The following is a 25040-nucleotide window of genomic DNA, read 5'->3' as shown; positions in this document are numbered from 1 at the left end:
ATTTTTTGTAGAGATGGGGTTTCTGTATGTTGCCCAGGCTGGTGTTGAACTCCTGAGCTCAGGCAATCCGCCTTCCTCAGCCTCCCAAAGTGCTAGGACTACAGGCGTGAGCCGCCACACCCAGCCTTACTCTTTTTTTTTTTTTTTTTTTTAACAGAATGAATAGTTCAGAGAGCTGGGACAATATTAGAGGAGAGAACCTGAGGCCTGAATAAGAGTTAGTGGTGGTGGTAAGGCATAGGAGAGAAGGGAAAGGACTAGAGAGTTCCATGGGAGCATCAAGTGTGACATAGGGGGCCGGGCGTGGTGGCTCACGCCTGTAATCCCAGCACTTTGGGAGTCCAAGGGAGGATTGCTTGAGGACAGGGGTTTGCGACCAGTCTAAGCAACACAGTGAGACGCCATCTCTACAAAAAAATTAAAAAATTAGCGGGGCATGGTGGCATATGCCTGTTGTCCCAGCTACTTGGGAGGTTGAGGTGGGAGGATCACTTGAGCCCAAGAGGTTGAGGCTGCAGTGAGCTGTGATCACGCCACTACTCTCCAGTCTGGGCAACAGAGCAAGACCCTGTCTCTAGGAAAAAAAAAAAAAAGTGCAACATGGGGCTGAGGGTATAGAGCTGACTCCAGGCTTGGGGGCTGAGGATGGCCCCTCCTAGTGTGTGAGGCCAGTGAGGGGGAAAGCTGGGTGGGGAGAGTATGCAGAGGGCGCTATCCTGCCTACAGACACTGAGAGGGCCTGGACAGGAGATCTAGGTGTCCTCTGGGAGTCAGCAGGAAGCGTCACAATGCCAGGGAGGTGGCATGGGGAGCAGAGCCCATTGTCACCTTGCCGAGGAACCACAGGTCTCCACCCACCCACCATCCTCAGCACAGGAGAAAGAAGGCTGGCCCAGCCGACAGGTCTGCCACCCTGATGTTAGGGTAAGGCACACCCTGCATCTCTAGGACCCTGGGAACTTGGGATGCCCAGGGCTTCCCTCTATAAAGAATTATCTGGAGGGGCTCAAGGGTCCAAGGAGAAGTGGACCTAGTATTTCCAGAGTGGCCTGTTCTGGGCCTCAGACTGGACAAGAAAGAATGGAGGTCTGCCCCAGGCCCTGTTCTGCATCCTTACGTGCCTCAGTTCCCCCATCTGAGGATATCCCGGGGCTCCGGAAAGGGAGCCTCTGCAGTGGACCCAGCTGCTGTTCCCTGGATGTCCTCCCTCCCAGCCCTGGCTGGCCTCCCCCACCCGCCCCAGGCTCCTGGCCTCCCAGGAATGTGCTTCTCAGCCCCCAATCTGGGCGCCTGCCTTATCGGCCCCCAGTCGAAGGGGAGACAGACGCCCCTGTCGACAATGACATCCCCTCCTGTTAGCCCCAGCCTGACCCTGAGTTGAGGGCCGGCCAGCGCCTGCTAAGTGCCTGGAGGAGGAATATCTCCCCTTCCCCACGCTGACATGAAACCCGACCTCCTGCACCGGCTCCTTTGTGCCCACCGGGCGCCCGCCCAGGCGTCAGAGGCCCTGGGTCCCCGCCCTGCTGCACACTGTGGCTGCCAGGGTGGGATTTGCTCTGCCTGGCATGCTTCCAACATGACCTTAGCCTGCTTTGCTGGAAAACCAAGGTTGTCTGCGGGGGTCCGCTCACCCTGCTCCCAGCCCCCAACCCCTCAGTGTCTTGGTCCAACCCCTGCTGTATGAGGCCAGACCTTCTCCTCACATCCCTCCAGCAAATGCACTTCCCTCCAGCACTCCAGGCTCTCCCCGTCCCCTCCAGAGCAGGGAGGAAGGCTCCTGAACCCACTGTCATTAGGCACTGGTCTCACCCCACTCCCCAGGGAACCCCTCTCAGGGCCCTTGTGGGACCCTCACGCTCTTGGGATCCACCTGAGAGCCTTCTCAGCCAGTTCTCCCTCTTGGCCAGTTCCAGTCTCCTCGGGGGACCTCAGGGCCCTGTCCAGAGCATCCCTCGTTTTCCACACTTCCCTCCAAGGCTGCACTCCCCTTGTTTGTTAAGGCACATCCATTTGTGTGCCTTCCTCTCCCTCCTGCCTGCCATTATCCTGGTTACCAGGAACCTTGGCATGGCTGCAATTCACAGTCCCTTCCCGGGCCACGTCTCCCTGGATTCTCACTGCCTGGCTCCTGAAGCCCTTTCCTGGCTCAGCCTCCCTTGGCCTCCCCAGCTGGGGCTGCCTTCCCTCCCTGGCTACTGCAGGTCAGGCTACCCAGGCCTGGCCTCTTTTCTCCATCAACCCTTGCCCCTTGAGCATCTCACACACGCCCAAAGCTACAAATACCATTGATCTACTACTGGATGACGGCACCCACATTTAGACTGTCTGCTCCAACCCCTACCCCAACACCACACTCAGATTTTTCCAAGTGATGTCACACAGATGCCTCAAATTCGATGAGTCCAGAACAGGACCCTCTATGCCCCTCACCTTCTCCCCACGAGCCCTCCATCTCAACAAAGACCACCACCATCCAACCACTCTGCGGCTCAGGCCTCTGAATCCACTTGGACTCCCCTCTCAGCCCTGTCCCGTCTGTAGGCAAACCCATATCCCACCCCTCCTTGTCCTCCAGGTTCCACCTCCCAGCCCCGAAAGTAATCACTGTCCCTTAAGGATTCCCCCTGCTCAAGGATTCCTCTGGCAGTCCACTACCCTGACAGCAAACACAGAGGTTTGTTGTTTTTTTTTAAATTTTAGTAACATATACACAACATAAAATTTGTCCAAACTATTTTCAAGTGTTCAGTTCAGTGGTATTAAACATTCTTATGCAACCCTCCCCACCATCCATCTCCAGAACTTTTTCATTTTCCCAAACTGGAACTGCACTCATTAAACAATAACTCCCTGATCCCCTCTCATATAAGTGGAACCATACAGTATTTGTCTTTTTGTGACTGGTTTTTTTTTTTTTGAGACGGAGTCTCACTCTGTTGCCCAGGCTGGAGTGCAGTGGTGCAATCTCGGCTCACCACAACCTCCATCTCCCGGATTCAAGCAATTCTCCTGCCTCAGCCTCCCGAATAGCCAGGATTACAGGTGCCCGCCACCACGCCCAGCTAATTTTTGTATTTTTAGTAGAGACGAGGTTTCACCATGTTGGCCAGGCTGGTCTCGAACTCCTGACCTCAGGTGATCCACCCGCCTCGGCCTCCCAAAGTGCTGGGATTACAGGTGTGAGCCACTGCGCCCAGCCTTGTGACTGGTTTATGTTACTGGGTGTAATGTCTTCAAGGGTCATCCATGCTGCATCATGTATCCGAATTTCATTCCTTTAAGGTTGAATGGTATTGCATTGCATGTAGACAGCACATTTCGTCTGTCTCATCGGTGGGTGAACTGATGTGAACCATTGTGAATAATGGGGCCATGAACATGGGTGTATGAACATCTGTTCAAGTCCCTGCTTTTGATTCTTTTGAATGTGTACCCACAAGCAGCATTGCTGGATCATACGGTAATTCTATTTTTAATTTTTTGAGTCATGATCATATTGTTTTTCACAGCGGATGCACCATTTTATATTCCCACCAACGGTGCCCAAGGGTTCCAATTTCCCCATATCCTCGCCAACACTTATTTTGTTTTATTGTTTTGCTTTTCACAGTTACCATCCTGATGGACACAGGGATGCTTGCAAAGTGACAAACTTTAGAGGTATCCCAGGTCACCCCACCTGGCACTGCGGACGCCCACGTGGCCCCACCCCTCACTTGGCAATATTCTCATCAAGTGTCAGCACTAGCTTATTGTATTGACTGCCTCCTGGCTGGACTCTAAGAGACAGTGTCTTTTATTGCATGCTACATCCCCAACATCTAGAACAGTGTCAGGCAAACAGTTGTTTAATAAACGGTGGAAGGAAGGAAGGGAGGGAGGGAGGGAGGGAAGGAGGGAAGGAAGGTGGGTAGGTTGGTTTCTATTTTCCACCAAAATATTGAGGACCTCTCCTGCCTGTCCACTTGCTCTGGTGCGCCTCTCAACCCTCGCGCCCCACCTGGACTCAATCCCGCAGTCCTGCCTCTCCTTCCTTGGGCCCCCGGGGAAGAACCCCGACAGCGGCCGGCACATTTGAGTGGGGCCCTGGACGTTTGGGGAGGTTTGGACACATTCCCGAATGCCTCCCTGCTGTGGGTTAGGTGGGCCTGTCTTGGGCTGGCAGCGAGGACAACGTTGTGGCTAGGTCGTCAGTTAGTGAGCCAGCACGGTCTGAGCCGCCACACTCCGCGCCCCGCCCACGCGCCCCGCCCTTTCCAGTTTTGCCTCGCCTGCTCGGGTCTTCGCTCCTGTAACCCATACGATCTTAGCCCCGCCCCCGTGGTGTCGTGGGTCCACGCTACTGGTCCTCTCCTAGAAAGCCGCGAAATGACCAGTTCCTCATTGGCCACACGTTCTCCCGCGCCACCACCGCAGCCACAACAACCGCCACGTGCTCAACCTTGGCGCCTGCCCATTGGCCACCAGCCTCTACCCGCCCACTCTCCCTTTCCGCCCCTAATTTCCCTCTTCTTCCTTCCATTGGCTGTCGGGCTCAGGGGCTCTCTTTTCAGCCTGGGGCGCGCAGCGCCTCGGATGCGGATTGGCCGAAGGCGGGGCTGGGAGGCGGGTTAAAGAGCGCGTTGCTGGCTGGGCCACGCGTGCTTGAGAAGGTTCAATGGCGTGGCAGGGACTAGCGGCCGAGTTCCTGCAGGTGCCGGCGGTGACGCGGGCTTACACCGCAGCCTGTGTCCTCACCACCGCCGCGGTGGTAAGCGGCCGGGCGGACCGGACGTCGCCTTGGTTACAGCCTCTGGCGGGAGGGGTGAGGGTCGCCATGGTTACGGCGTGGCTCCCGGGCAGCTCTTGACTGGCCCCTGGTTCCACAGCAGCTGGAGCTCCTCAGCCCCTTTCAACTCTACTTCAACCCGCACCTTGTGTTCCGGAAGTTCCAGGTGAGGCCGCCCCGCGCCGCGCACCTGTGGGCCCGACCCACCCACCCCGCACCTGACCGCCCGTCCCCCGTAGGTCTGGAGGCTCGTCACCAACTTCCTCTTCTTCGGGCCCCTGGGATTCAGCTTCTTCTTCAACATGCTCTTCGTGTATCCTGCGCCCTGCGGACACGGGCTGGGTGGAGGGCAGGCCGGCCGGGCTGGGAGAGAGGCCGGGACGGGGAAACTGAGGCCCCGCCTGGTGGCACTTCCTATACCGACGCCGTAGGTTCCGCTACTGCCGCATGCTGGAAGAGGGCTCCTTCCGCGGCCGCACGGCCGACTTCGTCTTCATGTTTCTCTTCGGGGGCGTCCTTATGACCGTATCCTTCCCGCAGGCTCTGGAACCTCGGGCTAGGGCGCCTCGGCGTCCAGCCTGTGTTGGTCCTGGGGCCAACACAGCCATGCCAGAGAGGGACACAGTCGCTGTCTCCAGCTTAGTATGTGTTGAGGGCCCACTCTGTGCTCAGCTGCAGGGGTCAGGGCTAGATCTTCAGTGCTGTATGCAAAATACAAAGCCATGCACAAAAGAGCCAGGTGGGTTGTCAGGGCCACTAGCTGAGCCCTGAATGCGAGTAGCCGGGAGAAACTGGGGCAGGGACAGGCAGTGGTTGGGCCCTGGGATGAGGCTGTAGGTGTGCAGGGCAGATTTCGTGGGACCTGAAGCCCGTGGAGTGTGTCGCCTTTATTGGACTGGCTCATCTTGATGAGGGAATAGCACATAGGGGAGATGAGGGGAAGAATTCCAGGGTCTTGGGAAGTCAGAGGGGCCCTGGGCTTGGGCTGAGGCCTGCACCGGAGCACCTTGACTCTGGCCCAGCTGCTGGGACTCCTGGGCAGCCTGTTCTTCCTGGGCCAGGCCCTCATGGCCATGCTGGTGTACGTGTGGAGCCGCCGCAGCCCTCGGGTGAGGGTCAACTTCTTCGGCCTGCTCACTTTCCAGGCACCGTTCCTGCCTTGGGCGCTCATGGGCTTCTCGCTGCTGCTGGGCAACTCCATCCTCGTGGACCTGCTGGGTGAGCCTCCCGGTACATCTAGTCCGCCCCAGGCTGGCCACTCCCCTCAGGACACGCTGCTTATGCCCTGGGGCCCCTCTCCCATCCTTGCTGGAGTTCTCCTCACACCTGGCTCCATCCCCATCTTCCTGCCCTCCCAGCTGCTGTGCTCTTACAGCCCCTCAAGCCAGCCGGCCCACATAATTTGCATCGTCAGGACGGATCTACTGATGCTTGCACGGTCCTGATGGGAGTGAGGATGGGAGGGTCAGGGTTCCTGCCCCATGGCTCCCACTCCTCCACTATTCTCAGGCCCTCCCCTCCCTGGGTCCTGCCTGCTTCTGGGCCTTTTAAGCTTGTCCTTCACGGCCAACCCGGGGCTGGCACTCTGTGCAAGGCTTTGGGGCACTCATGCTGTGGGGCCTGCAGGGCCACCAGGCTGTGGATGGGGGCCTGGGGCAGGCTCTGCTGGTCTAGGACTCTGGGCTGTGGAGGGTGACCCCACAGTCCGTGGCTGTCTCACAGGGATTGCGGTGGGCCATATCTACTACTTCCTGGAGGACGTCTTCCCCAACCAGCCTGGAGGCAAGAGGCTCCTGCAGACCCCTGGCTTCCTGTGAGTGTTGAGAGCCCTCCCTCCCTCTCCCCACCCTCAGAAGGATCCCCACCGATGGGGACCTGTGCTGGCCTGTGCTCAACACGGGCCCCTCCCCACAGAAAGCTGCTCCTGGATGCCCCTGCAGAAGACCCCAATTACCTGCCCCTCCCTGAGGAACAGCCAGGACCCCATCTGCCACCCCCGCAGCAGTGACCCCCACCCAGGGCCAGGCCTAAGAGGCTTCTGGCAGCTTCCATCCTACCCATGACCCCTACTTGGGGCAGAAAAAACCCATCCTAAAGGCTGGGCCCATGCAAGGGCCCACCTGAATAAACAGAATGAGCTGCAGTCTCTTGGCCCACAGCACTGGCTTCCCCATCTCACCTGGCCACATCCTTCTATGCCTGCCCCGTCCTCACTCAGTGTGGCCTCTCAGCCCAACTGCAGGTGGTAGGATAGGGGTGCCCACAGAGGGCAAAGAAACTGCCCATGGTTGCCTGGCAGAGCTTTGAGCTCACAGGTTGCCAGGCAGAGCTTTTGAGCTCACAGGTGACAGGCTCAGGGTTCTCATCCTGGCCCCACCAGGGCCTTGGGCAAGTCCTGCCCACCATAGGCCTCTGCTACCTGCCAGTCAGCGGGGAAGTTCACCAGATTTCGGCTGCTGGGGCCAGGACAGGCGTCTCCTAGGTTGTGCCAAACCAGCCTACAGATGTTCCTGCCAGTGGTGCCTTCAGGCTGATGCCAATCTAGCCTCTCCTGTCTCTCATCAGCCACCCTGACAGGTGGGCGTATGCCTCATTTTTCATCTGGTGATGCCAAAGCCCCATGGATTCAGGTGCAGAAGAGGGCCAGGACTAGGTCTTCTGCCCTTTCTATGACCTCAGAGCCTAAGTTTTCACCTTAGCAGAGTTCTGAGACTGGGTGAGGCAGGGACTTCTGGAAGGTTCTGTTCCTGCCCTTTTTAGCTGAGGACGTGTGTGAGCCTTATCCGACCCCTGTGGCTCATTTTTCTCTTCTGACCTGGCAGCTTTCCTTGTTGTTCTAAGCCTGTCCATGTTGTGGTTTATTTCTGGATGCTCAGTGGCACGGGGCCTCCTCCAAAGACAGGTTGTCATTTTCATGGTAACAACACTGTTCTCTGTTGAGTCTGCCCTCCGTGTTGTAGCCAGACCTTGTGGAGATGGCTTTGCGGCGGTGTGAGCTGGCGGTCAGGAGTGAGGGCCCAGCCTTCCCGGCACCTCCCAGCCAGGTGGCCCTGCCCGACCTGTGGGGTGAGGCAGCCAAGGTTCCTTCCATCCCCCCAGTTGTGGAGACACAGGGCTGCCTCACCCTTTCATTGCCGAGGTTCCTACCTCATGGACAGAACAAACACCTCAGCAATGAAACCTGTTCATGTCTAAGAGCAGCTGGGCTGGGAATCTTCCCCTTTGTTCAAGGCCTTCCAGTAAGGCCCAGCTGTCCCCTTGCTGTGCATGGGGCTCTGGGGAGTTCCACTCTTTGATGGAGGGCAGAGGCCCTGAGTGCAAACTCCCTGGGAAGAGTCCCATGCTAACATGTGCTCAAAGGAGCCCTCCTCTCACATCTCAGCGACCAAGAACCCCAATCCCTAATCAGAGCTCTGCCTCTGCCCCACATGGGGCCCTACCCCACTTCCAGGGAGCACAGCAGCCTCTGACCCTAGCCCTGCCCTGGCAGCATGGGACCTGCCAACAGCTGAGGGTGGCAGCAGTCTGTGCTGGGATCTGTGCCCGGATCTGTGCCCATTCTCTTCAGTAAGGCTGGAGCTGCGAGCCAGTTTGCTGCCCTCCCAGATCCTGTGTCCATTCTGAAGAATGGGGACACCTCCCTATTACAGATGAGAACAGAGGGGACATGAACTCCTTGGAGGCAGGGCTGGGAAGGGACCCTGGGCTGTGTCTCCTCCCTGTACCGTGTCAACTCCAAGAGCTGGCACCAGGCCGGGAGGGCTATTCCCATATTCCTCACAGCTGGCTTGTAAGGCAGGAGCTGGCCCAGGCCACAGCACCTGCTGGGGTGGGAAAGGGCCCCAGCTGACCTGGCTATGGGTGCCACTGGAGCTAGAACAGCCCTCCTGCACCCAGGCTGGCGACAGCCCAGCAGTGCCCACACAGGACTGGGCCCTCCGCAGGGGACTTCAGAGCAGCAAGGCCCCAGCTGGCAGTAGCCTGACCATCTGGACACAGCAGAGCCAGGGCGGCCCAGGGACGGCAGGAGAGCTCGCGGCACCTTCCTGAGGCCAAGCAAGGGGAGCAGGGTTAGGGCTGTTCCTGAAAGGCAGAGAGCCTCTTGCCCTGAGCCTCACAGCTACTCTTCTCAGCTCTCTGGGTCTGGAAGGAGAACAGGCTGAGGGGAGCTGAGAGGAGCTGAGGTGCTACCCGGAGCCCCATTCACCCCCACCTGCCCACTTGGGAATCTGAGGCAGAGGAGGGTGAGGCCTGTGTGCCAACCTTGTTCACATACCACCTTCGTCCCCCCAGGCCCCGGCCCCACTCCTGGCTCTCATTATTTTTATGTTAAAACTTTGAAGAAATTGAACATGACCTGTTGAAGAAATTGAACATGACCTGTTGCCTTTTATTTAAAAACTGTTACTAGCCCTGCCTGGGGCTCCTATACAAAAACAAAACACAACCTAAAATAAGGTTTCTTCCTGACCCCAGAGACTGGGGAGGGGTAGGGAGGGTGGGGTGGGGGGCAGGACTGGGGCTCAACAAATGGAATGTGTGCCGGGAAGGGCCACCTGGAAGCCCCCACTCCACCCCCACCCGATCCTCAGGATGGCGCTGGGCTGTCCCCTCGCCTCTGTCCTTGCCAGAAGATGGAGGAGAGGCGGCCCAATCTTCTGAGATGCTCCGTGGGAGCCGTGTGCTGATGGGCTGGTTACCAGGCCGGGGCCGTGTTGGCAAGACGCCTCATCCGCCTGGAAGAGGAGTGGGGAGGGCAATGAGTCGGGGCCAGCTCCCAGCCTGGGCGCTGCCCTTCCCAAGGCTCTACAGGGCAGCCAAGTGTAGGGGTGGGAACAGAGGCAGGATGTGGGCCCCCAGCAGGGTCAGACCCAGCCTTCTCTCAGCCTCGCCTGTCTGCCACTCAGGCCCTGCTCATCACTCCAGGGACCCCAAAACCTGGATCTGGGCTGTGGTCAGACCCTCAGCCTGAGGAATTATGTTTGTTCCATGCAGGGAAACATACCCTGGCGTTTGGATGGGGCCTTATCACCCAGAAGCCTGCCTGCCTCTAGCAGCACTAGAGGTACTCTGTCTCAGAGACCATGGGAGACTGGGAAAGGCAATGGCCCTGCCTCTGCCTGGAAAGCCAGGTGCCTGTGGGCAGAGCCCAGGACCACAGGGCCAGGGGTACCTCGTGTTCCTGTCCTGGTCGCGGATCTTCTTCTCCATCTCAGCGTCTGTCAGAGTCTCCAGCAGTGGGCACCACTGGTCCGCATCGCCCGTGTTCCGGATGGCAATCTCCACTGTGGGCAGAGGGTTCTCGCTACGAGGAGGGGAGGCAGTGAGAGGAATGACTTTTCCAGCTATAGATGGAGAATCCTCAGAAAGCTTTGGCCCCTGTCTGTGCCCTGCTCCTCCCAGCAGCACTGCTGGCACCCAGTGGATGCTCCAGTCACCTGAACCTCAAGGGAGCTGCTGGAGGCGCCAGGGCCTTTCCATAACAAGTGTTGTCGCCATGACCCCATGGGCTTCCCTTCAAAGTGAACTTTCAACAGGGCTTTTGTGCCCAGCGTCTCTCTGTCTCTGAGATGGAGGAAGGGGCCACTGGCTGTGGAGGTGGTCCTTGACAGGACAGCACGGGCTGGACCATGCTGATGCCACAGTGCCAGTCAGGAGGTGGAACCTATAGGGGCAGGAGGACTGTCTGCTCCACTCAGTGTCCAGAGCCAGGGCCCACTGATCAGGGAAAGGGGATGGATGGCGAATGGGAGCAAAGGAGTCTCCCAGAAGTCCCCAGCCCCCCACTACTGAGGGCCACTGCACAGCCTGTTCCTGCATGTTCCACACACTTGCCCCTCAGCCCACCTCCTGGCCGAACAAAACCCCCGAGAGGCTGGTCTGTGCTTAGGATCAGACAGCTGTCTGGCAGGGAGCTGGACAGAAGCCGTATCCCCGGACCACACTCTGCCCTGGGTCTCACAAGGACCACCCAAATCTGCCCCGAGGTACCTTCCTCTTGCCAAAAGGACACAGCAGAGGAAGGGGGCAGCAAGGGCAGAGGCTAAACAGGCATGGGGTGGGCACAGGAGTGCTGGGGAGGTGGGAGGGTGGCTGGCTGCCGCCTCTCTGGGCTTTGATTTGCAAGTCTGTGACAGGACACTAAGGAGACCACAGCTGTGGATGCCACAGGGCCCGTGTGCCTCCCACATGCAGTGGTCCCGTCACCCCCACCTCTGAGAGCAGCTTTGGGTGCTGACAGTGTTTCCCAGTTGAGTGACACCAGACCCCTGGCTTGGCAGAAGGCCTCAGCCTGAGGTCCTAACCATGACTCTCCCACTTCCCCTCCCCTCTCTGTGGTCCTTTCCTTTCTCCTCCACTTGGGCACCTCCACTTGGCTCTCCCTAGGCTCAGTCCCCTGGGAGAAGGACACCCTGCCAGCCTGCGGCCCTGAAAAACACCATGAGCTCTGGGAGAAGCAAGGGCAGGCCGGACTCGGGGGAGGCGCCAGGTGGACACTGATAGAGAGGACAGGTCCCTGCAAACCTCATCTGGAATATGGAAACATTTATTGCTGTGAAGGGCTTTGGAAGGATGACTGTTATTAAAGCAGCCAAAACATCTCCACTGAGGGAGCTTCCTAGGGGCCAGGGACCTTCTCACAGCCTCCCTGTAGTGGGTGGCTCAAGGTTGTGGGACCAGCCTGCTTGCAGAGCGAGTCCCGGCTCTGCACATCCACACCAGTGAGCACACACCCAGCTCCAGTAGCCGTGAGCCCGTTCCAGGTTGGGCTCAGTGCTGCTCTCCTCAGCCTGGGGTCTCAGGGACTGTGGGCACAGCGCAGGGCACTGGCTGCAGCTGGCTCTCCCTGCAGCAGGCCTGACCCCTCACAGCTGAAGCTCAGCCCACCAGGTCCATGCTCATGAGTCGCAGAAGCTCAAGCTCGTACTGGTGACGCAGAGGCAGGGCCAGAGGCAATGTCGGCACCCCCACCCTCTGGGGCTGACCCATCCTCAGCAGCTCCTGACAGCTGGTCCCTGGCCAGCACCGGGTGGTTTAGCAGTCTAGGGACCACCCTAGCCTCAGACCCCAAACATCATTCCTCACCGTGAGGGCTCCCAGCAGCCTTCCTTGGAGGGCAGACGTGAAAGGTACCAAGCCCACAACGAGGGGAGCAAAACATGTTTTCCTCTTAAACAAGAGCTGGCGAGTGGGTCCCAGAGGGTCCTTTGTTTACCTCCCCTTGATGCTGGGAATATTCCACTCCAGTGGGTTTGTTCTAAAGTAAGAAATGCTCGCACCAACCATGTAAGAACGGGCCTAGAGCCAGCACTAGCCTGCCTTGGGTTTTGGGGGCATGTGGGCATGGAGATGCTGTCCTGAGTTCCAAAGAGTGCTGGGGACCCTGGGAGCCACCCTGCTCCCCATTCCTTCCAGGGAATTCTGGTTCACGGGCTTCGAAGCCGCCAGGGACCCCAGACCTTCCTACCACCCAAAGTGTCCAGGTGGGGACAAAGATACCCAGGCAGGGGATGCTCACGTCTGAGGGACAGAGGGAGCCAGGACTGATGCCGGTCGAGTATCTTGAGGTTTACTTTCAATGTGATCTCACTTTCATGACCTCATGTGATGCAACACACAAGTATTATCCCCAAGTTACAAATGACAAAATACAGACTTCAAGGGAAAATGACCTGTCCACAGCCACTCGACCAGGAAGGGGAGATGCCAAAACTTGGTGTCACCCTTATGTTTGCAATTCACACCTCCGAGGCCGCCAGGAGCCTCAAATGATTTTTAGAAGGGTGCCAAGTCCACTCAATGGAGGAAGAGCAGTTTTCAACATGGTGCTGGGGCAACATGACTCTGGATTGACAATGGATTCTTAGATATGAAACCAAAAGCACTAGCAACAAACTAAAACAATATATAAATTACAGGCCTGGTGCAGTGGCTCACACCTGTAATCCCAGCACTTTGGGAGGCCGAGGCGGGCGGATTATGAGGTCAAGAGATGGAGACCATCCTGGCCAACATGGTGAAACCCCGTCTCTACTAAAAACAAAAAATTAGCTGGGTGTGGTGGCAGGTGCCTGTAGTCCCAGCTACTTGGGAGGCTGAGGTAGGAGAATCACTTGAACTCAGGAGGCGGAGGATGCAGTGAGCCAAGATCACAGCACTACACTCCAGCCTGGTGACACAGCGAGACTGTCTCAAAAAAAAAAAAAAAAAAAAAAAAAAAAAAAAAGATAAATTGGACTACATCAAAATGAAAACTTTTGTGCTTCAAAGAACACTATCAAGAAAGTGAAAAGGCAATCCTCCAAATGAGAGAAAATATCTTCAAATCATGTATCTATCTGATGAGGGACTTCTATGTAGAATATATAAAGAACAATTACAACTCAACAATAAAATAAAACCCAATTAAGAAACTAGCAAAGCACTTTCTCCAAAGAAGATACACAAACAGCCAGAAATACATGCAAAGATGCTCAATATCATCAGTCATTAGAAAAATGCAAATCAAAACCACAATTACTTCACACCTCCTCAGACGGCTACGATCAAAAAGAGAACAGCAAATGCCAGCAGGATCCAGAGAAACGGGAATCGCACGCTTCTGGTGGGAATGCAAAATGGTGCAGCCACTTTGGAAAACAGTCTAGAAATTCTTCAAAATGCTAACCACTGAGTTGTCACGTGACCCAGCAATTCTACTCCTGGGTATATATCCAAGAAAATTGAAAACAGATGTTCACACAAAAACTCATACACAAATGTTCTCAGCAGCAGTACTCACAATAGCTGAAAAATGGAAACAACCCAAAAGTCAATCTGCTGATGAATGAATAAAATGTGGTATATCCATGCAATGAGATAATATTCAATCATAAAAAAGAATGAAGTCCTGATAAAAGATGCTACAACATGGATAATCCTTGAAAACATTATGCTAACAAGCCAGTCATAAAAGACCACATATTAGATGGTTCCATTTCTATGAAGTACCCGGAATAGGCAAATCTACAGATAGAAAGTGGATGAGTGGACACCTAGGGCTGAGAGACAGCGGGGAGGAACGGGACTGCCTGCAGTGGGGTGATGAAAAAGTCCTAAAATTGACAGTGGTGATAGTTACACAGCTCTCTGCATATATCAAAAACCGCTGCACTATATACTCTAAATGTGTGAATTGTATGGTTTATGAATTATATCACAATAAAGCTGTTAAAAAAACAAACAAAACCTGACATCAGGCCAGGGCTGGCGGGCAGAGCTTCGGAAGGAACCTGAGGCTTACGCTCAACCAGCCCAACGTGTACCTGACATACCCCAGCCTAATTCCTGATGCTGTGCCATCAGAGGGACACTGCCTCTCTGTCCCTCATGCAGGCCCAGCTACCAAGCTCCCTGACCCTTAGTCTCTTTTCATCCCCACCCTGTACGTGTAGGACTGCTGGTGTGCAGAGCCCCCTGGGGCAGATACCCTGCCTGATCCACAGGGCCCACCTTCCTTCTCAAGCACCTGCCTGTCCCTGGTCTCCTCTCGGTCCTTCCTGCTGCAGTCCCCCATCAGCACCTGCCCTGGCCATCCTCACCCCAGGTTCTATGCCCCCAACTGCCCTTCCTCATGCCCACAGCCTCCGGTGCTTTCTGTGGCCATGGCACACTGATAGTCATGCACATGAATCTGTTTCCTCTGCCAGACAGGGCACTGTCTCCTCCCGTCCCTGGCCAGGAACACAGGGCTGGCCCAGGGGAGGTGCCAGTAACTTTGCAGGATCAGCTCTCCTCAGAGGCTCTGCCTAGCCCAGCCTCCTTCCCCTTGAGCCCTGTCTCCCTCCTTTCGCTGGCCCTTCATCCCACTCCACTGGCTCTGGGACGCCTGTGTCACTCTGGTCCCAGTCTGTCCTCTAGGAGCCTAGGGCTTCTGACCAGTTTGTCACATGCCCCTGTTTCCCCTTCATGCTTGTCTCCTGTCTGTCCCACTGCCAAAGGGAACAGGCTGTTCTCTGCCCTGGTTCCCCTGAGGTGTGGGCATAGTGGCCTTGCACACACATGTCCTGTGGCCAGCAGCTTGCCCCACTGTACCATGGATCCAATCAATGTCCCCACTGCCGAGGAGGGTATGGAAGTCAGGCACTGAGCTCTGGCTGGGAGAGATGGAGGGACTGGCTCTTGGGGAATCAGCGAGTGCTTCCATTATGGAGTGACCTAGGTCCAGAGCTGAAAACCCTTTTTTTTGAGATGGAGTCTAGCTCTGTCGGGCTGGAGCACAATGGTGCAATCTCAGCTCACTGCAATCTCCGCCTCACGGGTTCAAGCAATTCTCCTGCCTCAGCCTCCCGAGTAGCTGGGATTACGGGTGCCCACCACCACACCTGGCTAATTTTTCTACTTCTAGTAGAGACGGGGTTTTGCCATGTTGGCCTGTCTCTAACTCCTGACCTCAGGTGATCCGCCCACCTCGGCCTCCCAAAGTGCTGGGATTACAGGCGTGAGCCACCATGCCTAGCCTGAAAACCCTTCTTAAGAAGTCATGTGGCCGAGCGCGGTGGCTCACGCCTGTAATCCCAGCACTTTGGGAGGCCGAGATGGGTGGATCACAAGGTCAGGAGATCCAGACCATCCTAGCTAATACGGTGAAACCCCGTCTCTACTAAAAACACAAAAATTAGCTGGGCGTGGTGGCGGGCACCTGTAGTCCCATCTACTCAGGAGCCTGAGGCAGGAGAATGGCGTGAACCCAGGAGGCAGAGCTTGCAGTGAGCCGAGATCACGCCACTGCACTCCAGCCTGGGCGACAGAGCGAGACCCCATCTCAAAACAAAACAAAAAGTCATGTGACACAGCAGTTGCCAAGCTTTCTGTGTGGCAGAGACCAGGCCAGGACTCCTGGTCTAGCTCTCTGTGGGCTGACTGGCCCCTGGACCTGGGGACTCAGTGGCCCAGCCTCCTTTCCCCAGGCAGGGCCAGGCAGGACTGACACTGGTCTCCCTGGGGACAGAGTTAAACGAAGTCCCTCCTAAGATCCCATGGGGTGGGGTGGTACAGTGGGGGGAACGCGAGTTGGAGTCAGGGATGACAGCCCAACCCTAAGGCCCTGTCCTATCCTTGCAGCTGTCTTCCAGTGTGGGGACTGGGAAGACACACGCAGCCCTCCTGATGCTAAAAGCCCACTCAGGACACTTCCCAGTTCCCCAGGCAGGCCGCCTCTCCATCTGGCTGCTGTGATAGGGACGTGTGCTCACCTTGGTCCCAGCGGGATGGCCTTTGCCTTTAACCCCAAAGATTTGAAACCTGCATTCTCAGCATAAGAGAGAGCAGGGGGCAGGGGGTCTGTGATGCCCCCAGGCCCTGCAACTGGAATGCACTAAGTGGTCGATGAGATAAAGAAGGGGCCCGCCTCTGCCTCTAAATCCTGACCTGCCACCACCAGGGACTCCCCAGGGGGTCTGCTCTGGAGCCACTCTGCAAACTGCAGAGGGCCCGGAACTTGGAAAGGAATTTAGGCTCAGGTCACCTTCGGGTCAGAGCAGGAGGGATGGTGCCATGGTGGCTGAAAGAAGGGATGTTGCAAGGACCTGTCAAGAGGCCCCGGGGACTTCAGTTCCTGACCCTGGACTGTGGGCACTGGCAGCGGCTGCAGGACTAGGTGAAGGTCAACACCGTAGGGGCTGGATGCTGGGGGCAGCCAGCCTACCACCTGCACCTGTGAGCCCAAGACGAGGGTTCTGACTGGATCAGCCTCTGCGGGAGGAGGTGCTCAGTGTTGATGCGCGCAACATGACTGCCTCCCGGGGCCTCAGAGTCAACTCTGGTGGAGGGAGGCCACCCTTGACTGGCTCTCCGGCCATAGGGCTTGGCTCTGTGCAGGGTGAATGCACGCTACAGCTGCACTCCCAGGCAACACCCCGAGGGAACAGGGAGGCATCAGACACCAGCCCCCCAGCCTCCTCTCTGGGCTGCCCTGTCTGTGAAGCAGAACCATGTGACTGGCAGGGCTGCTGGGGGGCAGGTCACAGGATCTCAGCACCATGGCGCTCAGGCAGGGACTCAGCTGTTTCCCAGGCCCGGGCCCTTGAGCCCCGTGGGTGGCTCTCATTCCTTCTTCCTTGCTCAGATTTATGGGAAGTCATAGAAAGCTGTCTCTTGGGATGTCTGGGAAAACAAGTTAGACACAAACCTAACGAGCTCCATTAATTGTCATGGCTTTGCAAAACAGACCTTCCTATTTGCTCCTCATGTAGCATTTTAAGCTGTCATCCCTGAGTGATGACTGCAGATGTGGATGATGATAGTCTGATGAGCAGACTAAATCTGAACATCCTGTTTTGATGTAGGGATGCTTGCTGCACCCCCACCCCATCCCAACACAGAGGACAGGGTGAGGAACCACGGGGCTTCCCAGTCCTAGAGTCCTGCTGAGCCGGGAGAGTTCAACCTCGCTATTTTTTTTTTTTTTTTTGGAGACAGGGTCTCGCTCTGTCACCCAGGCTGGAGTGCAGTGGTGTGATCTTGGCTCACTGCAGCCTCCACCTCTTGAGCTCAGGCGATCCTCCCACCTCAGCTTCCTGAGTAGCTGAAACTACAGGCATGTACCAACATGCCCGGCTCATTTTTTCTATTTTTTTTTTTTTGTAGAGGTGGGGTCTCACCATGTTTTTCCCAGGCTGGTCTTGAACTACTGGGTTCTGGTGATCCACCTCAGCTCCGCGAAGTGCTAGGACTGCAGGTGTGAGCCATCGCACTGGGCCTTGACCTCACTTTTAACTCTGAGTCCCACCTCCTGCCAGGAACAGGAGGGCCTCTCCCGGGTCCATCCCCATCCCTACCACAGAGGACACTGGACTGGAATATTCTGTTCACACTTCCACCATCTCAGCCAGCCCAAATGCTACAGGCAGGGATCAAGGTGACCTGTCTCTATCTTCCAGGGCAGCCAGGATGGGGTCCAGCCCAGCATGGTACTCATCAAATGCTCTCTGACTGACCAAAGGCAGAGATACTAGAGTAAGAAGGAGCTGCTAGGGACCCCTGACTCTCAAAAGCTGGGCGGGCCTTTGTGTTTAAGACATAATTCAAGTTCAACAGATGAAGAACCCTGGGCAGGGGTCACCCTGACCAAAATAACAGTCTGGGCAAGAGCAGAGAGAGAGGGTGTGGGGCAGGACAACTGAATGGTGGATGGTGGGGGCAGGCCAGGGCTCCGTGGAGGCAAGGACTTGAGGTTCACCCTGACAGAACTCCAAGTCTTTGCCAGCTATTGTGTTAGGTGCTTCTAACCCTACCTGGCACAGCGGAGCCCTGGAGAGATACATAGGGCAGGAGGAGGACGGAGCAAACACACAGACCCCAGCCAGATTGTGCTGCGAAGCGTGAGAAAGCCTCAAAGGTATCACCGCTCACACAGAGAAGTCTTTCTCAAAACAGTTTTGCAGGGAGATGAGGGAGGGAGAGACTCATGCATGATCCTACCTGAAGGCGTAGGTCTTCTGATGCCAGCTCAGCTGTCCCCGGATGCTGTATGCGATGGTGGTGACAAACTCCCCGCCCAACCCCAGCTCCGAGCACAGCTTCAGGGCAAACTTCTCTGGTGAGTTCTCCTTCTCTGACATGTCCCACTCAAACTGGTCCACCAGGGAAATGTTTCCCACATGGATGTTCAGCTGAGGCAACAACCAAAGGACACAAGTTAGAGCTTTTGCAGCCCAGGGAGGCCGCGAGGAGCGGGGCCCTGCCAGGCCTGGGGTGGGCCCTGCCCACCAGGGTCCACCAGCTGAGAACTGCAGGTGGTCCTTGTCCTTCCAGTTCCCCATCCCCAAAACAAGGCTGACCCCACAACCCTGTCTGCCATGAGGGGCTCTGGCTCAGGGCCCAGCACAGTCACCCTCGGGAGGCCCTGAAGTGACCCCGGGGGCACCTGAGTCCCACCTTACCTTCATCCCATCTCCCCTGTGCCCTGTGCTGGTGGGGACCTTCCTTTCTGCCCTTCGCTCCTGCTGCCATCGGTCTTACGTGACTACACCAGAAAGGCAGGGCTCAGCTAAGGCATCCCTAAGCCCTGTCTTGAGCCAATGTCTATGCCCTTTACAGAGCTTGCCCCTCTCGGAAAACCCTGCCTAGCGTGTTCACAGATGCACCCCACTCTGGGTCAACACGGTGAGGGGACAGGGAAGCCTGCAGGGATCACAGTGCTGGGCCAGCTCCTCCACATTCCCCAGAGGACTCCCTGCAGCACGTGACTCACAGCCAGAGGGCCCAGGCCCCGGGTGTGCTGTCAGGGGTTTTCCACTAGTGGACACCTGGGAAGCCAGCACCCAGCTGAGAGAACACAGACTGTACCCCAGGGGCTCCCACCTACACCTGCCCCCCTGGGGAGGCACCATTTTGACTTCTCACCCCTTGAGTAGGTGTGGCTGTTCTGAATAGGATGGACACTTCGGGGTCCAGGTTCATTCACTCTGCATCATGCTTGCAAGACTCCTCCCATTAGAGTGTGGGGCTGGGGTCATCCCTCACTGCTATCCAGTGCTCCACAGGGCAACCAGGTCACAGTGCACCTGCCCATTCATTGTTGGCCCTTAGCTTTTAAGTCAAGGATCAGGGTGGGCAGCTGCAGGGAAAACTCACCACTGCCTCGGAGTCCAGCCCTTCCGGGGACTTCTGCCTCCTTTTAGAGATTAGGGTACCCCAATCCCCGATCATGTTCATAAAGCCCTGTGCCTCTGAGCCCTGCACATCACCACCCACTTGCTAGAATGCTCTTCCCCTCACCTGGCAGGACCAGCCTCTTCTCAGCATCCTGGTCTAAGCTAAAGTGCCAGCTCCTGAGAGCTCCCCTTCCCATCAGCCCCTTTCCACACCCTTCTCTCCATTTTCTCCCCCTTTGGAGACAGGATGTCACTCTGTCACTCAGGCTGGAGTGCAATGGCATGATCATGACTCACTACAGCCTTGAACTCCTGGGCTCAAGAGACCCTTCTGCCTCAGCCTCCTGAGTAGCTGGAACTACGGACATGCACTACCATGTCTGGCTAATATTTTGTAGAGACAAGGTTTCTACAAGGCCCAGGCAATGTATCAAGTGTTTTGGGCAGAGAAGAGACCCTGTGGTTGAGCCTTCTGTTCCCCGCAGGCTTCCCTGCTGCCTCTCTGTGTTGGCCCAGGCTGGCCTCAAAAGATCCTCCCCCGAGAGTCTCCTGAGTAGCTGCGACTATACGTGCGGGCCACCATGCTGGCACCTCTCCTATTTTCTTCACAGCACTTAGGACTGTCTGAAACAATCTGAATCATTTGCCTCCAGGAATTCTAGCACAGGCAGGGTGTATTTGTTCTGGGAATGAAGGAATCCTCACGCAGAGGGAGGAAGCCGAGGGCAGAGCTGCAGTGTCCTGTACACGGCATGCAGCCAGGCAATGGGGACTGCAGTCGGGCCCCCATGTCCTTTGCTATCTCCACATACGCCCACGCCTGATGATGAATGGAATCGGAGGCACTGGCCCTTCCCAACTGGAATCTAATGCCAAGCAAACCACGTGGGTGCTGGGTCCAAAAAGAACGTGCAGCAGCAGACAGCCCATGGAACCACCCAACAGGACCCCATAGGACCATAGGCACATGGCTCCCACCCAGCAAGCCCTCCCTGCCCTGGGCTCATGGATGGAGTTGCCTGTCCCCTGCCATTCAGTCACTAACACATTCATTTATTCCAAAGTCTAGACTGTGTGTCTACCAAGGAGAGGCACAAGAGAGACAAACATTCAAAAGGCTGTTCTGAGAAAGGTGAGGTGGTACATGTCTGTAGTCTCAGTTACTTGGGAGGCTGAGGTGGGAAGATCACTGGAGCTCAGGTGTTTGAGTCCAGCCTGGGCAACACAGCGAGACTCTGTGTCAAAAAAAAAAAAAAAAAAAAAAAAAAAAAAAAAAAAAAAAAGCTATGCTGGTGGGGGCACTGACAGACACTAAGTAGGTTAAGTGAGCATGTGGTGTACCAGAAAGCACGGGAGTGCCAGGGAGGAAAGGGAGGGAGGGGGAGAAAGTCCAGGCTGGCCTCAGAAGTCAGGAGGCCAGGAAGGCTTCTAGGAAGGTGGCCTTTAGGAAGAAGTGAATGTGCCCAGGGAGCAGGAATGTGGCTCCCTGGGGGAGAACAGTCCCAGGTGGGGGACACAGAGATGTAAAAGACTGAGGAGCCAAGGTCTGGTACCCGGATCTGCCCAGTGAGGGGAAAAGGGAGGAGATGAGGGTGGCGAGGGACTGTAGCAGAGAGCAGTTAGGGCCCTGAGGCCTTTGGACAGGCTTGGCTTCCACAGAGGGATGTGGGAAGCTTCTGCGGTATTTTGGGCAGACAAGAGACATGGGCTGAGCTGCCATGCTGAGACCTCTACTGGAAGGCGGGGAGGGAGGAAGGGAGCCATCTGGCAGTGGCCTTGGTGGGGTAGTGAGGAGTGCTGGACTCCAGGTGGACTCACAGAGCTAAGACGGGGCCAGGACTCCCAAGCAGGTGCACAGCAGGGCCAGGCCCCTGCCCACCTCCCCAGCCCTGACTCACATCTCACCCCATGCACTCTCTGGACGGGGCCTGGACAGTGCCACAGGGTCTGATGGCTCAAACTGCAGCAGCACCATGTCCCCAGCTTCCTCCCCTGCCCCCCAACCCCTGCTGGAACTGGGCAAAGCCGACTTGGGCCAGGTGCCCTGGCAAGGGCAGCCAGGCCTGGGCTTTGGTCCCAGCATTGCCAAGAATATCTGGAAGATGCTGCTCTAACCTAAGGCACTCTTTCTGAGGAGAGAGATGGTCCTCATGTGCCATGGCTCCAAAGATTCTTGTTTTCCTTCAGTCATGTTCCAGGATCAAGACAAAGGACGTCCTTACAGAAACACCCAGCTCTGGCCAGGCACAGTGGTTCATGTCTGTAATCCCAGCAGTTTGGGAGGCCAAGGTGGAAGAGTTGCTTGAGCCCAGGAGTTCGAGACCAGCCTGGACAACAAAGTGAGACTCCATTTTCTCTTTTTTCTTTTTTTTTTTTTTGAGACAGAGTCAGTGAGATGGGAAGAGCCTGTTGCCCAGGCTGGAGTGTAGTGGCGCAATCTTGGCTCACTGCAACCTCCGCCTCCCAGGTTCAAGCAATTCTCATGCCTCAGCCTCCAGAGTAGCTGGGATTACAGGAACGTGCCACCACGCCCAGCTAATTTTTTATATTTTTAGTAGAGACAGGGTTTCACCATGTTGCCCAGGCTTGTCTCGAACTCCTGAGCTCAGGCAATCTGCCCACCTCAGCTCTCCAAAGTCTTAGGATTACAGGCATGAGCCACGGTGCCCAGCCGAGACTCCATTTCCTACAGAAAATTTAAAAATTAGCCAGGCATGGTGGTACGTGCTTATAGTTCCAACTACTCAGGAGGCCAAGATGGCAGGATAACTTGAACCCAGGAGGTCAAGGCTGCAGTGAGCCATGAAAAAAAAGGAAGGAAGAAAGAAATACCCAGCTCTTCTGAGTCCCAATTATAGATGGGAAACCCTGGGTGTGACCTTCTATTCCTCATGGGCAAGACAGGACACTGTTCCCAGGGTCACGGTGCCCAGGAGGCCTCTGGCCTGAAAAATGCAGTCTGTCCCACATAACACAGGCTTCCCTGGGCCAGCTGTGTCCACCCTGTGACATCTGGTCTGACCCAAAGGGCAGAGCAGGACACCTGGCTGGGGACAGTCTCTCAACCTGCCAGCTGCCACCATCCCCCAGGTGGGAATCACAGGTAAGTCAGAGGGTCACTGGGGAAGCCTCTTCTGGTGGGGCAGGGAACAGCCCCAGGAGGATTACAGCTGCTGGGCAACTTCCTGTATGGCTCCTCTGCAGGCCCCGTCAAGACAACAACAATGAAAATGGGCTCAATTCTGAGAAAAACGTTAAGGGAAGCTACCAGTCAGGCTTCATGAGGCCCCTTGTGTGGCCAATCCCAGTCATTTGGAACCACGTGGCTGGGTGGGTTAGCCCACACAGCCTCATCCTCCACATGTTTACAAGACAAAGAGAAGCACAGAGTGGAGCCCTCAGGGCTGCCCTCCAGAGCCAGCAGACCGTATGCAGGACACAGGCCAGGTGCTTGCTGCCACTCCCATCCCCACCCCACTTCTCTCCTACCATTGTCCCTTCTTTTCCTCCTAGCTGGCCATAATGTGAAACTGAAACAAATTTGTATTCCTCTCAAAAAGGTATTAACAAGTAAAGAGACTGAATCAATAATAAAATCTTCCTGACAAAGAAAAGCCTTAGACCTGATGGCTTCATTGGTGAATTCTACCAAACACTGATTGACTGACTGAGTCAGAGTCTCGCTGTCAGCCAGGCTGGACTGCAGTGGCACCATCTCGGCTCACTGCAACCTCCGCCTCCCGGGCTCAAGCAATTCTCTTGCCTCAGCCTCCTGAGTAGCTGGGATTACAGGTGTGTGCCACCATACCCGGCTAATTTTTGTATTTTTAGTAGAGACGGGGTTTCACCATGTTGGTCAGGTAGTCTCTAACTCCCGACCTCAGGTGATCCGCCCGCCTCGGTCTCCCAAAGTGCTGGGATTACAGGCGTGAGCCACTGCACCCGGCCATCTACCAAACATTTAAATAGGAGCTAACACCAATCCTTCTCAAACTATTCTTTAACTCATTGCCCTGATACCTAAGTCAGACAAAAAATACTACAAGAAAGGAAAACTACAGACCTACACCCCTTATGAATGTTGATGCAAAAATCCTCAAAAAAATGCTGGCAAACTGGCCGGGCACAGTGGCTCACGTCTATAATCCTTTGGGAGGCCAAGGCAGGTGGATCACCTGTGGTCGGGAGTTCGAGACCAGCCTGGTCAATATGATGAGACCCCGTCTCTACTAAAAGTACAAAATTTAGCCGGGCGTGGTGGCATGCGCCTGTAGTCCCAGCTCCTCCTCGAGAGGCTGAAGCAGGAAAATCGCTTGAATCCAGGAGGTGGAAGTTGCAGTGAGCCAAGATCATGCCACTGCACTCCAGCCTGGGTAACAGAGCGAGACTCTGTCTAGAAAAAGAAAAGAAAAGAAAAACTAACAAGTGTGAGTGAGGATGTGGAGAAACTGGAACCCCTGCGCCTTGCTGGTAGGAATATAAAAGGTGCAGCCACCGAGAAAGGCAGTATAGTGGATCCTCAAAAAACTAAACATGGAATTACTGTACGATCCAGGAATTCCATTTCTAGGTATACACCCAAAAGAAATGAAAGCAGGGGCCAGACACAGGGGCTCACACCTATAATCCCAGCACTTTAGGAGGCCGAGGTGGGCAGATCATTTGAGTTTGGGAGGCTGAGGCGGAGTTTGAGACCAGGCTGGCCAACATGGTGAAACCCGGTCTCTATTAAAAATCCAAAAAAATTAGCTGGGCATGGTGGTGGGTGCCAGTAATCCCAGCTACTCAGGAAGCTGAAGCAGGAGATTGCTTGAACCTGGGAGGCAGGAGTGCCATGAGCCAAGATCGCGCCACTGCACTCCAGCCTGAGCAACAGAGTGAGACTCCATCTAAATGAATGAATGAATGAATGAATGAATAAATGAAAACAGGGACACCAACAGATACCTGCACACCCAGGTTCATAGCAGCATTATTCACAATAGCCAAAATGTGGAAGCAACCCAAGTGTCTGTCCATTTAGGGATGAATAAATAAAAATGTGATAGATCCATACAACAGAATATTATTTAGCCTTAATAAGAAAGGAGGCTGGGCGCAGTGGCTCACGCCTGTAATCCCAGCACTTTGGGAGGCTCAGGTGGGCAGATGGCTTGAGCCCAGGAGTTTGAGACCAGCCTGGGCAACATGGCGAAACCCCATCTCTACAAAAAAAATACAAAAAATCAGTCGGGTGTGGTGGAGTGTGCCGGTAGTCCTAGCTTCCCAGCTACTCAGGAGGCTGCACCGGGTGGATCACTTGAGCCCAGGAAGCAGAGGTTGCAGTGAGCCATAACTGCGCCACTGCACTCCAGCCTGGGCAACAGAGTAAGACCCTGTCTAAAAATAAATACATTTTAAAAAGGGAAGGAAATTCTGACATGGTGCAACATAAATGAACCTTGAAGACATTCTGCTAAGTGAAATAAGCCAGTCACAAAAGGACAAATACTGCATGATTCCCTTAGGAATGTAAATGAGACACCTCGAGTAGTCAAATTCATAGAGACAGAAAGCAGAATGGTGCTTGCCAGGGGTGGGGGGAGGGGGAATGGGGAGTTAGTGTTTGATGGACAGTTTCAGTTTTACATGATGAT

At 55.6% G+C, this 25040-nt stretch overlaps 2 protein-coding genes across 14 annotated transcripts in view, besides 5 other annotated features; one reads left to right on the top strand and one right to left on the bottom strand.

The window, feature by feature from the left end:
* Positions 878 to 1435: an enhancer, noted in NCBI's record as "H3K27ac-H3K4me1 hESC enhancer chr22:24184397-24184954 (GRCh37/hg19 assembly coordinates)". NCBI's record gives its function as "activates a minimal SCP1, AML or CMV promoter by ChIP-STARR-seq in naive H9 embryonic stem cells {active_cell/tissue: H9 hESC(naive)}" and the evidence as "EXISTENCE:reporter gene assay evidence [ECO:0000049][PMID:30033119]".
* Positions 4414 to 4716: a silencer, noted in NCBI's record as "fragment chr22:24181116-24181418 (GRCh37/hg19 assembly coordinates)". NCBI's record gives its function as "represses an EF-1alpha promoter that drives an FKBP-Casp9 reporter gene in an ReSE screen in HepG2 liver carcinoma cells {active_cell/tissue: HepG2}" and the evidence as "EXISTENCE:reporter gene assay evidence [ECO:0000049][PMID:32094911]".
* DERL3 (derlin 3) lies at positions 4639 to 9142 on the top strand. 10 transcript variants are annotated; one of them, XM_047441596.1, is made up of 7 exons: positions 4639 to 4750; positions 4872 to 4934; positions 5008 to 5081; positions 5200 to 5293; positions 5791 to 5986; positions 6491 to 6581; positions 8713 to 9142. In XM_047441596.1, exons 1-7 carry the CDS (start codon positions 4658 to 4660, stop codon positions 8816 to 8818), a joined length of 717 nt encoding a protein of 238 aa, XP_047297552.1. In that variant the 5' UTR covers positions 4639 to 4657; the 3' UTR covers positions 8819 to 9142. The 10 variants fall into 10 exon arrangements, with proteins under 10 accessions (XP_047297552.1, XP_047297553.1, XP_011528807.1 ...); XM_047441597.1 differs by having other exon boundaries at positions 8666 to 9142; XM_011530505.4 differs by having other exon boundaries at positions 6683 to 9142.
* The window catches only part of SMARCB1 (SWI/SNF related BAF chromatin remodeling complex subunit B1), a 51044-nt gene continuing 31639 nt past the window's right edge, over positions 5636 to 25040 (bottom strand). For all 4 annotated transcript variants that reach the window (NM_001362877.2, NM_003073.5, NM_001317946.2 and 1 more), the window contains exons 7-9: positions 18230 to 18420; positions 9942 to 10073; positions 5636 to 9504 (exon numbers count right to left, since the gene is read on the bottom strand). In NM_001362877.2, the coding sequence (NP_001349806.1) occupies positions 9465 to 9504; positions 9942 to 10073; positions 18230 to 18420 (363 nt within the window). In that variant the 3' untranslated portion in view covers positions 5636 to 9464. The remainder of the gene's footprint in view (positions 9505 to 9941; positions 10074 to 18229; positions 18421 to 25040) is intronic.
* Positions 16405 to 17125: an enhancer, noted in NCBI's record as "H3K27ac-H3K4me1 hESC enhancer chr22:24168707-24169427 (GRCh37/hg19 assembly coordinates)". NCBI's record gives its function as "activates a minimal SCP1, AML or CMV promoter by ChIP-STARR-seq in primed H9 embryonic stem cells {active_cell/tissue: H9 hESC(primed)}" and the evidence as "EXISTENCE:reporter gene assay evidence [ECO:0000049][PMID:30033119]".
* Positions 17894 to 18428: an enhancer, noted in NCBI's record as "H3K27ac-H3K4me1 hESC enhancer chr22:24167404-24167938 (GRCh37/hg19 assembly coordinates)". NCBI's record gives its function as "activates a minimal SCP1, AML or CMV promoter by ChIP-STARR-seq in naive H9 embryonic stem cells {active_cell/tissue: H9 hESC(naive)}" and the evidence as "EXISTENCE:reporter gene assay evidence [ECO:0000049][PMID:30033119]".
* Positions 18429 to 18962: an enhancer, noted in NCBI's record as "H3K4me1 hESC enhancer chr22:24166870-24167403 (GRCh37/hg19 assembly coordinates)". NCBI's record gives its function as "activates a minimal SCP1, AML or CMV promoter by ChIP-STARR-seq in naive H9 embryonic stem cells {active_cell/tissue: H9 hESC(naive)}" and the evidence as "EXISTENCE:reporter gene assay evidence [ECO:0000049][PMID:30033119]".

The sequence above is a fragment of the Homo sapiens genome, chromosome 22 (genome assembly GCF_000001405.40).
Source record: "Homo sapiens chromosome 22, GRCh38.p14 Primary Assembly".
NCBI lineage: Eukaryota > Metazoa > Chordata > Mammalia > Primates > Hominidae > Homo > Homo sapiens.
The sequence above is the reverse complement of the archived record's forward strand: the minus strand, read 5'-3'. Positions and strand labels throughout refer to the sequence as shown.